At 36.1% G+C, this 13,500-nt stretch overlaps 1 long non-coding RNA gene across 1 annotated transcript in view; it reads right to left on the bottom strand.

Moving 5' to 3' along the window:
• The window catches only part of LINC02516 (long intergenic non-protein coding RNA 2516), a 58,493-nt gene that overhangs the window by 16,182 nt on the left and 28,811 nt on the right, over window positions 1-13,500 (bottom strand). The window contains exons 6-7 of the long non-coding RNA NR_110838.1: window positions 5,984-6,081; window positions 4,438-4,633 (exon numbers count right to left, since the gene is read on the bottom strand). This is a non-coding gene — a long non-coding RNA (long intergenic non-protein coding RNA 2516). The remainder of the gene's footprint in view (window positions 1-4,437; window positions 4,634-5,983; window positions 6,082-13,500) is intronic.

Consider the following 13,500-nt stretch of genomic DNA (forward strand, 5'->3'; position numbering starts at 1 on the left):
GCCCGTCTAGACCATGCTTCATGAGCTTTTATCTGTCTCTGGTTGTCTTTGACTTGACTTTTTCTTTCTCTTTGGATTGGTTTGGATGAGATATTATTTTTGTGAGCCTGGAAGGGAACTTTAGAGATAACTACAGGCAGTTGAGTGTCTCAACATATGAAAACTCAACCCATTTCAATGTATTATCATCCTTAAAATTAGCACATTTGTCTTTATGTCCAATTAAAATGTGTCCTTTCCTTCAAGCTTATTTTTTGTTCATAAGATCTACTTATTTGAGAACATAAAGAATAGCTCCCTAGCAAGTCCCTCATAAAAATTTACCGACTAGATTTGTGTCTAGATCATTTTGCAAAAGCCAGTTTTTCAAAAGCCAATAAACCAGGCAATCCTGCAAATAACCAAATTTGCCAAGTTTGCTTGTTTTTTCAACTATTTAGTTTCAATTGGCTGATTCTCATTTGGTTTTCAAAAGAGGCCTACAGGCTTAGACAAATAAAATATACTTTATAGCATTTTTATGTGAGTATAATGCAAAGTAGTCAACTAAAATTAAATGCTTATTAAAAAACAAGCAAATTCTGTAAATTGATTGTCTGTTGGCTAAATGCTTGCATCTATTAGATACCTACCTAGGCCATATAGTCTCAATTTCTTCTGTATTTTCTACTGTTTAGAACTAATTTCCATCCATCCATAATTATCTAAGCTTTTCTGATGTCAGAAACATTGGGATATGGTCTGTCCTCAAATAGGTTCAAGTTTTTGTTATTTTTCCCACTTATTAGAATACAGATTGTTTCCAACTTAATTTTAGTACTACCTATATGTAATTACTTGAGAAATCCAAGGCAAAGATTTTGTTTCCTTCTTAAGAATTTTTTTTCAAGTTGGAAAAGTCACCCTTACCCGCCGATGGTGGGAATAATAATTGCTACCAACTGTACTAAAAACAGATTGGGAACATTTATTAAAAGACTTAAAAATAATCTCACCCTTGGATCATTAATCCAATTTCTAGTAATTTTCTTAAATAATCGGACATGAGGACAAAGATTTGCTGAGATATTAATTATAGCATTTTTATAAAAATTTAAATTTAAAAAACCCCAGAAGTTCTAGTTTCAGAAATTGATGTTTCAGAATTCAAAACATGCTATCAATAATTTAACCTTTCTTTGCCGCAGATTCTGTTCCTCTTCTTTATTTTTTTATATGGTGCTTCCCAGGACAATATCCTGTGCATTGACTCAAATTTTTTCAGATGCCCTGTCCTGAAGAATTCTATGGCCAGAAAGCAGAGATAAGTTGACTAGTTTAAACTAATTAGGATCTATCTATGGCACTTCAAGCAAAAACAATCTTACCCAAATCATAGGTTGAGAGTAAAGGAAAATTAGTTATTAAAAGAAAATTTTTCATAAAAATGAAGAATGATTTCTAGTGTCAGAAACTGAAGATGTCCCTCTATAACGATACACACTTGTGATCACGTAGCCATTAAAAGTTAGATAGTTAAAACCTGTTTAATTCTAGAGGACATGCTTAAGATTAAATGTTACATTAAACGAAAGCTGGGGAAATAGCCAAGTATGAGCCTCTGAGGCAGAATAGATTTTGACCTGTGAAGAATGAAGAGCTATATGAGTTCAGGCATAATGAAGGAGAGAAAATATTTATAAATAAGTCTGGAGAGGCAGGCAGAGGCCGAATCATGAAGCCTCTCATAGACCATAGTATTCATTTTAGTCTTTGTCCCAAGTTCAGTGAAAGACATCATAGAGTGTCTAACAAGAAGTCTGTATGATATAATAAATATTTTTTAAAGAACAGTCTGACAAATGTGTGGACAATGGATTAGGCAGGGGCAAGTATGGAAACAAGAATTAATACTTTTTTTTGGAACAACCAGGAACCTCATGTCTATTTAGCTATATGTTAAGCCCATTTCCAATGATCTCACCATCACCTTATTACCTATGTTCTGCCATTAAGCACTCCACCATGTACACATCAGTTTTGCTGAGGGCAGGAACCATATCTACACATTTTTTGCATCTCTTTCTATACCTAATATATCCTAGGCATTGCATGTTTGTGAAATCTCTGTCTGTGTGAGTGTGTCAAGACTTTGGAAAAGGTAAAGACTTTGGAAATTTCTGTAAGTTTTATTGAAACTACATACAATACACTTAAACTTTTTTCTATTAGCAAATATTACATTAAATAACACAGTGATCCCATCTTATCAAAAGGTACATTGAATCTTAAACTATGATTTAATAATTTTTTAGAAATTACTGAGCCCAAAATATATTTGTGATAACACTATCATGAATAGTTTTTTAATAGCATTTATGTAAAAAATGACTTAACTTTCATTGTTATACCTGATGCTTTCTGTAGTTAACAAAATTTTTATAGGCAAATATTACATAAAAGACTAAAAATATTAAAAAGGTACATTTTCCATTGGTTCTCATAATATTTAGGTTGTTTTCCTGATATCTGAGCATATATGCAGTCAAGTTTTATACCTTTATATATAAATTTGAAGGAAAAGTTTTTCTAAGCAAAAGGCACCAGGCACTTAATATTTACTAAGCAAATATTTTCTAAGCAAAAGGCACTAGGCACTTAGTATTTACCAAAGTCTTTTGTAATCAATATTTTTATATCAATTTTATAAAAGCCAAAATTAGGGGATAAAGAAATTGTTCAAAGTTATCTAGCTAATTGGTGGATTTAACTTTGACCCGTACATATATAGTCAAATCGCTATTTAAAAGTTTATGTTCTTGCTGTGGTTTCAAATACTTTCAGTGAACATTGAACATTTCTTATTCTCTAACGCGGGATTAGATGCTTCTCTTCTGGGCCCTTACAATACTTTATTCTCGCCTCTGTCACTGTATTTGTTTTACTACATTTTAGCAGCCTGTTTACTTGCCTGTTTTCCCAACAAGATTATAAACTCCTTAAGTGTAGGAATTGTGTCTTTTTCTTAGGCACATAGTAAACACTTAAAAATTAATTTAAAATAAATGATATTAATATTTTAATATTAATTTAATATAAATGATATTATGATTTAAAGATATTTATTTTTTATAGTAGCTGATGAAAACAGCAAAGCCTTACCACTTATGGAAAGTCTTCAGCGAACTAGAGCAACATAATTTCTTAGCACTATCCCATGAAAAGAAGAATTTGGAGTATATTTAAACACACACATGCAATATATAGCACATTTTTTTTGAAACATGGCCATTTGGCACTGCTTTAAAGAAGACTCCTTAGGACTGATCTCAAGTACATATTCTTGAAGGGAAAAAAGCAGGGATAGGGGGGATGAACCTTCATATAGGCAAATTGGCATCATTTGATCATTTGTCCTTGGATAGCATTTCAGCCAAGAGAGACTCAAGACTGTGTTGGCACAGCCAAATAGCATTTAATGCCACTTGTGGGTATTTCAAAAATTTCATGGAAAAAATAGTTCTCAGGTTTCTTATTTAATAACATGGGTGGTTGCCAGTGATGAGAAAATGCCAAACCTATTTCAATTTTGAGGTTTCAAATTGAATTTACTCAAAATAAATCTTATCATATCCCCTAAAAATAGTTGCTACTGAAGTCTTAGAGAAGTGTGTCACTTGTATACCCATTTGTATTTGCAGAAATAATGCTAGAAACTTATTTTAACCTCAGTATTGTTTTGTTTATTCAATGAAACTTTGTTTAAATGGGTTTTGGTTCACTAGCAAAAATATGATGTATAGAAGAAGGAAAGATGAATTGTCAAAAATAGGATCCCAGAAAACTCAGGCATTGAGAGAGAAGGCACAAAATTAATTTAATTCTTCAACAAATATTGCAAAGCAGTTCACTTAAGATGGCCACCTAGTAAATTGCCACATTTCCAATTTAGTCAAATGTATGCTTTTTAAACACGCTTCTGATATTTTGAGTACTCTACTAAAGTGTTTTTGTGATCATAGAAGTGTTTCACAGCTTTTTTTTCACCTATTCATTGAATAAAATTGGATAGATGGTTGTTTATATGGAAGTGCTATTTTTTCTTCATAAGAATCAAAATAATGATTAATCGCATTTATTCCTCAAACTTCTCCAAGCCAGACAGAAATCTCATTTAAAGGTTTCTTAGTAGCCTCTGGGGCAGTAAGCAGTGGCGTCCAATCTCTCTGTAACATGCAAAGTACGTTACCCTTCTCCTTTTCTGCTTTAGTTCCCTTTTCTTCTCCCTTTTCTCTCATAGCTTTTCAAGGTCTTTTGTTTGTTTTCTTTACATACCTTTTTTCCTCCTCTATCTTTTATTATTTCCAGGGAATTTTGGATTAATGTAATTTAATGTTTCCTGTGAAGTATTGCGTAGGATCAAAATCATGAAGTCATTCAATAGACAAAGTCTGTTACCTGACACACTTTTATTCCCTTGATGTTTCCACACATTTTCCGTCCTGGGGTGGGGCCCATCATCCTCATGTTTTCTGTCTTTTGTTATTCCTGTGAATTTCCCTGAACTAATCCCACTTAATGGCATACAGTCTAAATTACAGGACAGAGACTTCTTCAGAGCTGACTGACACAAGCAAAGCAGAGCCCAGGCTAGCTAGGAGAAAAGCAGAGGAAAGAAAGCTAAAGGAGCTGCTCTCTTTTTATTCCTTATATTTATTCTTGATGATCATAAGCCCCCATCCATCACCTTTTGTGCAGAGATGGGTTCAAATTTTCTGCAGCCTCATCCTAAAATAGGCACTGTTTTAACTACATATCTTCATTTTTTGTCAAATCAGGTCTTCCTTTGAAGCTAAAGACCGCTATTAGGAAACAACTTTCACCCCTATTTGCTTAATAATGTGCTTACCTGTCTTATTCCCAGATAATACAAACACACACATACACACACACACACACACACCTCTTAACATTTTCTCTTTTAAGGCAATGTGCAGTTTCAAAGACTAGTAACTAAAGTTTCTTGCCATCATATGTAATGGTTCATAGTCCCTTGCAACGACAAGGGGGCTGAAATCTTTGGAAGAACAGGGCTTATTGTCTGGGTTCTCCCACAGTTCCTTGGAGGTTGCCACATACACCCATCCTCATCTGTCAGATGCTTCTTTCTGTCAGCTTCATAGCATCAGCCACAATACTGCTTACTACTCTGACTAGTTGAGGAAGATAACTAGAAGGTTTCCCTGAAGTCATAGCTTAAGGTATTTTAACTGTTGCCTTCTGGGGATAGAAATCCTAGTTTTGATTTCCAAGCCAAAAAGGAGGGTATTAGGTTTTTTGTTTTTAAAATTCAGTACATAGTGTTATAAATAAAGTTTCGGTGCCACAAAAGAAATAGCACTCAAATATAAAATTTTCTTTTCAATCCTCAGCAAGGCAATTTACTTTTATAGAAGGGTGCGCCCTCACAGATGGAGCAATGGTGACCACACACTTGGACAAGGGAGGGGAAGGGGTTCTTATCCCTGACGCACGTGCTGCTGTGTTGTTCCCCTATTGGCTAGGGTTAGACCGCATGGGCTAAACTAATTCCGATTGGCTAATTTAAAGAGAGTGACGGGGTGAGTGGTTTGGCGGGAAAAATGGTTATGACAGAGCAGGTAATTGGAATGAGTCAGGGTGGAGTAGGTAATTGAAAAAGGTTGCTTTATGAGGAAGTTAAGTTTAAAAGTAGAAGGCAAAGAATTAAACATACTGACATATTGATTCTTTGAAGAGAAAATTTAGAACTCATATCTAACAATAGGAAGGGAATTTTAGGGTCAGCAAAGTTTATCTGTATCTGTTTAACTTTAAATTACATCACCTAGGTAGAATATTAGGAAGAACAGGTATGAATTGTTAACATAGTCATAAAAGTACTAGGTATATTCATTATTATTTTAATTTTAAAGCTTTGTGAAAGGTTAAGAGTGATATGACAAATATAAGTAAAAAGACTTACCTGCATGATGTAGCAATAGACTTTAGCAGCTTTTAAAACTAAAGTGCCTCATTTTCCAGGGCCTCAGTTTACTTAACTGTAAATGGAGGATAATAGTTCTGAGGATTAGAAGAAATAATTTGTATAAATTATTTGTATAAATTTGTATTTGTATGAATTATTATATTTGTATAAATTTGTATAAATTATTGTCTACCATGAGCAAACATAAACATTTTCTATTGTTATTTAGCCAATAAGTTTAAATGACTCATACACACAGAAGACAGTGCTAGTCTTGCTAATGAGGACTAAGCTCTGATTTTTTTTAATCTTGCCCTAATTCCTATTTAAGGGGTCTGGAGAGTCATACCTTACAAACCATAAATTCTCAGCAGACCCTATATATTGTGACTTACTTCCCAATCTGACTCTTACTTTCCAACTATATGACAAAGAAGAAAGTCAAAATATTTTACCCCAAAATATGTTTCTTTGCCTTATTTTGAAATGGCCCTGCAAAACTGTCCTTTGTGGGGAAAAATTTGCATCTGTAAAGAATCTCTATTAACATGGCTAGATCTTTTTCTTCCAGGTACTCCCAATCCTAAAGAGATTAACTAAGAGTCTAGTACCTTTTAAAGGTCTGAATAGGAAACACTTGTCATCCTCTCTCTCTAACGGCAGCCACTATAATACTTCAAAAAAGTCTTGGTCACCACAATCTTTTATCTTAACCTGAACATTTCCTTTCTATCATTCCAGGTCTGTAGACAAACTCGACCAATTGTCAAGTGGAAAAGTTACCTATAGCCTGGAAGCCCCGGCTTTCAGTTGTCCTGCCTTTCTGGATCAAACCAATGTATTTCTTAAATGTGTTTGATTGATGTCTCATGCCTCCCTAAAATGTATAAAAACAAGCTGCACCCCAACCACCTTGGACATGTTCTCAGGACCTCCTGAGGGCTGTGTCACGGGCCATGGTCACTCATATTTGGCTCAGAATATATCTCTTCAAATATTTTACAGAGTTTGACTCTTTCTGTTGACACTAACAAACAGAATAATAGAAATAAATCAAACTCCTGTTCACACATTGTATTCATATATTGTATTCATACTACAGGATAAGAGAAAATATACAAAATTTCTCAAAAAATGATAGAAGACAAATTGTACCAGAAGCTCTTAAAGAGGTATCAACAGCTGCTGTGGGAACTGAAGGTTAGAAAGGGTAATAGGTCTTGGGGTTCTGGAAAGGTCCACGAAGGAGCAGAACTTTTTAATCTGAGCCTTAAAAGGAAAGGAGGTATGAGGTGGAAGTTTATTTATATAAATGCCAATTACACCCAGCAAACCGATAATATAAAAATGATAGGAGTCGCCTAGACGACTGGCTCCAGGCAGCTAACATGTGCTCTTTATTATTTTCAAGACAGAGTTGAGACTAAGCATAAGGAGAAAAGACTGAACTGAACAAAGATGTGATCACTCATATTATATACACACATTGCATTGTTAAAGGGATCTTCTAGTTTTAATAGAGTTAGGAGAAAGTAGGTTGCCAAATTTAAAACAATGTTCTTTTTGGAGTTTTTTGCCATCAAAAAAGTAACATTTCCTTAGGTCATACAATACAGTAATTCAAAAATAGGTGAATATGTATGTATGTATTTTTTGCATGAATGTGTTTATAATAGATTTTTTATGTATCCAGAAATGTAACTTAGACTATCATGTCCTCACAGTCAACCAAATTTGTTTAAAATTACTTTATTTAAACTAATTTTCCAATTTCAACATGTGTACAGCTAATACCTTTTCTTCCATGCTGAGCTCTTCTCTAAGCTGTTTGCTAAAATGAAGCCTTATTTTTGATTCTCTGAAACTACTGCCCTGGCTTACACACATCTCTTGTAACAGTCCATGATTTGAATACCATATGTGGAGGAAATGTTTATAAGTGAAAAATGATCTACTCCCAAACAAACTGAGCAGCATAGTCAAGGTCTTCAGAGGAAGAGGAGTGGGGGCTGTAAAATAGAAGGGGCTCTAGGAGGCTGTTTCCCACTGATAGCTGCATATGGATTCCAGAATCTACACTATGTTGATACTTATTACTCTCTCTCTCTCTCTCTCTCTCTCTTTTTTTTTTCCAGACAAGGTTTTGCTGTGTTGCCCAGACTGGAGTGCAGTGGCCTGATCACCACTCACTGCAGCCTCGACCTCCCAGGCTTGAGCGATCCTCCCACCTCAGCCTCCTGAGTAGCTGGGACTACAGGCGTGCACCACCATACCTGGCTAGTTTATTATTATTTGTAGAAAAGGGGGTCTCCCTATGTTGCCCAGGCTGGCCTCAAACTCCTGGGCTCAAGTGATTTTCCTGCCTTGGCATCTCCTGCCTTGCCAGGATTATAGGCATGAGCTACCACACCTGGCCACTGTCTTAAGCCAGTATATCCAACACACACACACACACACACACACACACACACACACACACACACTCATACAATGAACAGGTTAAATTCGATGCTCAAAAATACTATTCTGAATCAATGATGACATTTTACTTTGTGAGGAGAGGAAACAGGAAATGCTACAATCTAAAGTGACACCATTGTCCCAGCTGGGGTGGGAATACATGCAGAGTGAGAACATCCAGGGGGATCTAAGACTCTCTTCCTTCCGGCTTGGTAGAATCACCTGGGTTTCTCAAATCTTGGTGTTCTTATATTTGATATTTTTACCAAAATCAAAGGGCTACTATGAATATGAAATGGGATATTTTATGTAAAACACTTAGCACAGCTCCTGGTACAATGGATGTAAAATAGCATTGTAAAAATCAATTATTAAGTATAAATAGCACTTCAATGACACTGCACAAATGCAGGACCCAAGTGTTGGAAAGATAAAGCAAGTGATGTAAGTTTGATCAAGTTATATGGGGAATTATGTGTGGTAATTATACGAACAGGCGACAGAGAAATACTAGGTAGAAGAGGGCAGTTCCTCGGCAAAGGCCCCACTCTCAATCCCGGATACCTGCAGCCCTAAATAAGGACAGGCTATCCTGTTTTTGTGCTATAAAAGTTGCCTTTTGGCCAACCACACCCCCTATCCTGTACCTATATCAACGATGAACCCCAGGCCCTAGAGGGAGATGAGGAGACAAGGAGACAAGCAAATGAACAGCAGAACGGCGCAGCAGAGAAAGAGAAGGAGCGTCTGAGAACCAAAAGAAGTTCGGCTGGAGCAGTCAGAGAGGAGTTCGGCTGCTGGACAGCCAAACTCCAGGGGAAGATCCCACTCCATCCCCCTTCTAGCTCCCATGCATCCCACTGAGAGCCACCTCCACCACTCAATAAAGCCCCGACATTCACCACCCTTCAAGTCTGTGTGCGACTCGATACTCCTGGGGACACTGGACAAGAGCTCATGACACAGAAAATGTCACACTGGCCCATTACAGAAAAGCAGAGGGGGCACTGAGCTGGTTAACACTTAAGCAGTCTGTGGACAGCAGAGCTAAAAGAGCACTGTAACGCTGGGGTCACAGGCACCCACCATTAGACACTACCATGGGGCCAGACCCCAAAGCGCTTGCCCTGGCTCCCGCACCTGCTCATCTGCATGTTCCCGCTCCTGAAAGGGGTTTGAGCTCACAGTGGTGGTGTAGAGAGCCACACCCCTGTCACAGGCCCTGCAAGGGGAGCCAGGGAACTCTCCAGTTTCAGTAACAACACCCATTAATGCTATATATTAGGTGTTATATATCAGTTTTTACCCCAGAAGCAGATCTCTAATATGCTCTCCATTTCTCTTTCTCATTACAAAAATAATGAAAATTTCTGTGGTCAATTAAATAAATAATTCTGCTTGCAAAACTGTTAAACTAAGTTCTAGGGAAGTAAGAGCAACCCTAGGAATGGACTGTAAGTATGAAGACACTTTCTTTTTTACTTTGAGAAAATCACCCTGCCAGTTTCTCAATTTATGTGTCTTCTCCTATAGCAATCGAAATATTTTAGCAGTTTTTGTTGTTGTTCTTGAAAATCTAGGTTAAAATTAGATGGTTTCTCAAATAGTTACAACTTACTAGAGGCCTTGATTTCTCAGTGTATTTCCTCCAAAAAACAATGTTCTCAGAATGAAAATGTTAATTCAATCATCATTAGCATCTGAGATTCTTCCTTTACAAAATCGGAGAGACGGTATGTTGAAAGTACATTGACCAGGTACATCTCACTCTTTGTTGCTCAACAGGTATCTCAGGGGGAAAAAAAGTAGTGGCAAAAGACCAGGTCGACAGAAACACTGAGAGAAATCATATACCGAGGAAGTGCTCCATTTCCTTTGTTCTTTATGTGTTCTATAAATATTTCATGTATTTGTTAAAGCTGTGTTATTGCTGGAAGCCAGCCTTCTCCCTTGTTTAATTCTTCTCCCATCCTTGAAGCCTAGAAATGTTTGAAATATAGAGTCTGCATTCCTTGTACATGTTTTGTTAATAAACAACATGTGAAAATTAGGGATAAAAACTTCTTAAAAGGAAGAGAAAGAAAAATAACTAGGATGACTGGCAAGATAAAAGTCTCAACACCCTGGGGGTGACCTTGGGGCAATGACATTTATCAAAAATCTACGAATTGAAAATATGAGTGGTTGGTTCAAATGGGAATGAGAGTCAGCTTTTTCTTCTCATGGCTATGTTTGCCTTCCTTGGCCCATGTGGCAGGAAAGTCAGGCAGGTTTGAGGGGCTTTGTTAGAAAGCTGCCTGCGGGTGGTTCATCGCCAGTTGTGTTTACTTCAGTGCTAAAAGGGTATATTTCCTGTTTAAATAGTGTGCAACGTTGAGGTCATGGGACCTCTATTGGAAATGTCAACAAAACCATTTCACTCACTAACATTTTAAACCCAGAAGCTGGAATAATGGAAGAAATCAATAAATCAGAAATAAACATGGAATTTTCTTCCTTTGGAGACCCTAATGACCCTGCTGTTTCAATCTCATCTGGGTTGTGAATTGAGCAGCAGTGGAAACGTTTGGGCTTTGGTAGACACACACTTCAGCTTCTCTTTTTTCCCTTATGAACATGACGATCAGACTACTACCATTATTTTTCCTCTCAAAATAATAGTATGTGTATTCTAAAACGGCATTAATCAGTTGGAAAGGTGTGATCTACTTCACATGGGTATAAAAACAGTGTAATCCAAATGTGGATACCAAAATTAACTTGCACAAATAAAAAAGTGCCAAAATCTACAACAAATTCCATACTGTGTTCTGTCTTTTGTAGAAAATAGCTATACCATTTAATATATGCCAAACAATGTGTAACAAAATTAGCTCATTTGTCTTCAAACCATTTTATAAATCTCCATTTTACTGACGGGGAAATGGGGGCTCAGAAAGATTGAGTCCTGGTCAAAGTTCATAGAGCTGATACACACGGAAGTCCAAATTCCAATCTATGCTTGTCCGATTGGACACCTGAGCACTTAGCTGCTCCCACACATTCTCCAATTAGAAGTTATATGGCTGTACTTGCTTAGGAACAAGGCTGGTTCAACTCTTATAGACAAAGTCTTACTAAAGATATTTGAATCACAGAAGCTCAGGGGTATTGAATGCTAAGATTACCATATAATGCATAGTCTTTCAAACCATGATACTTTGTTGAATGAAAGAATGAGCTAATAAAACTTTCCTAGAGAAACAGGTATAAACCAAGACTGATCAAGATCAAGGAAAGTTGGAATGTTTGTTCCTTCTGCTTATAATCTTGGCTAACTGTCTTATGGTTCATGAATTTTTTAGCATCATACTAATATTAGGAATTATAATTTCATTATATAATATATAATTATAATTTATATAATTATAATTTAAGTTTGCTATTAAAATCCAGATTTGTTTATATATATTAGTTTATTATCAGAGCTAATTCTTCAGTTAGGAATTATAATTTTCTTTTTACAGATTTACAAAGATTCAGAGGAGATAGGTTGACTTGTAAAAGGGCAATTAATTGGGAAAAATTGGGATTCAATCCTAGGTTTTAAATATTACCCTTTGTTCTTTTCTTTTGTTTTTCTTGGTTCCTAAATGCCTAGGAAAAGCTTATCAACAAATTGCTGTGAAACCTATCTTTCAATTATTTCAGTCACACAGAATTCATTAGTTCTCAAGATGGAACTTTATTAGATAATCCATTTAGAATATTGCATCATGAGGGCATAAAAAACAAATACAACCATCTTATTTCCCACTTCAAATTCTTAGAAGAGATCAAATGAAGCCAAGGTCAGCGCGATCAGCAGCCTGCTCTGACTGCCCTTCCATTCAAACAACCCTCAGAACTGACATCCATCCACGATCAGCATTAGGAATCTTCCAGTATAAAGATGGCCAGAACACCACAAATCACCAAATGTTTGAGGAAAAGTAATACCACAAAAGTATTAAACTGAACAAACTGAACAACATAAAAGAAATGTAGTCGATAGGAATAAACAGATTTCCAAATGATATCATTAGAGAGACTGAGAATCTACTGCATCCACAAAAATACATCAGCTATAGACATTGTAAATTCGTTTGATTTCCATAATAAATGCTTATTAGCAGACAAGAGCAGCATGAATGTAGCTGAGAAGAGAATTCATATGTTATAAGAATCAGTCAAGGAAGTCTCAGAATACAGAGTTAAAGCTAACAAATAATCAACAAGAAGGGACGCAAAATATGAGGAAGGCTTAATTGACTTTGTGGCTAGATTAGAAAATTTCAGTATTCACTTAAGGGTGATCCAGAAGGCTTGAACTAGGCTGGATATGAAAGGAGGAAATAATTCTTAAGACTTAAATAAGACCTAAGTATTTGATTTAAAATGACGTGCTAAGAGCCACACAACATAAATAAGGATATATTCCCTTAAACATTTTTAAGACATTTCAAAACAATAATGACAAAAGGAGAATTTGAAATGCTTTTGAGGAGCCTAAAAAATACAGGCTCAACAACCAACGTTTTTTTCTTTATTGGGAACACTTGACCCTAAAAGACAATAGGGTATCTTTTTCAAATTCCTCATTAAAAATTTTGATCCTAGAAATCCTTCCCTAACTGTTCGCTAGAGATTCTCTCAATTCAGCAGAAATATAACTCTAGTGGTTTAAAAAGAGTTTTCACTTAACAAGATGTTTCATATTAAGGCAACCCAGAGCTGATGCAACAATTTCTCAATGCCATTAATATCCAGTAAGCTCCTTCTATCCAAGGATCACTATCCTTTGGATGTGATTTTTACCTTCACAAGGCATCTAATGGCCATGGGATGACTGGCCATTCTTTCACATCTGCATTCCAAGAAGGAGGAAGAGGAAAATAATGGGACAGCAGTTGTGCCTATATTGGAAACTATATTCAATACTGTGGCTATACTGAAAGGCAAACTTTCCTAAACATGCCCAGATCTGCACCTACAACTGTCTGTGACCAGACCCATGTTATATGCCCACATTTTCA

The sequence above is a fragment of the Homo sapiens genome, chromosome 4 (genome assembly GCF_000001405.40).
Source record: "Homo sapiens chromosome 4, GRCh38.p14 Primary Assembly".
Classification (NCBI taxonomy): domain Eukaryota; kingdom Metazoa; phylum Chordata; class Mammalia; order Primates; family Hominidae; genus Homo; species Homo sapiens.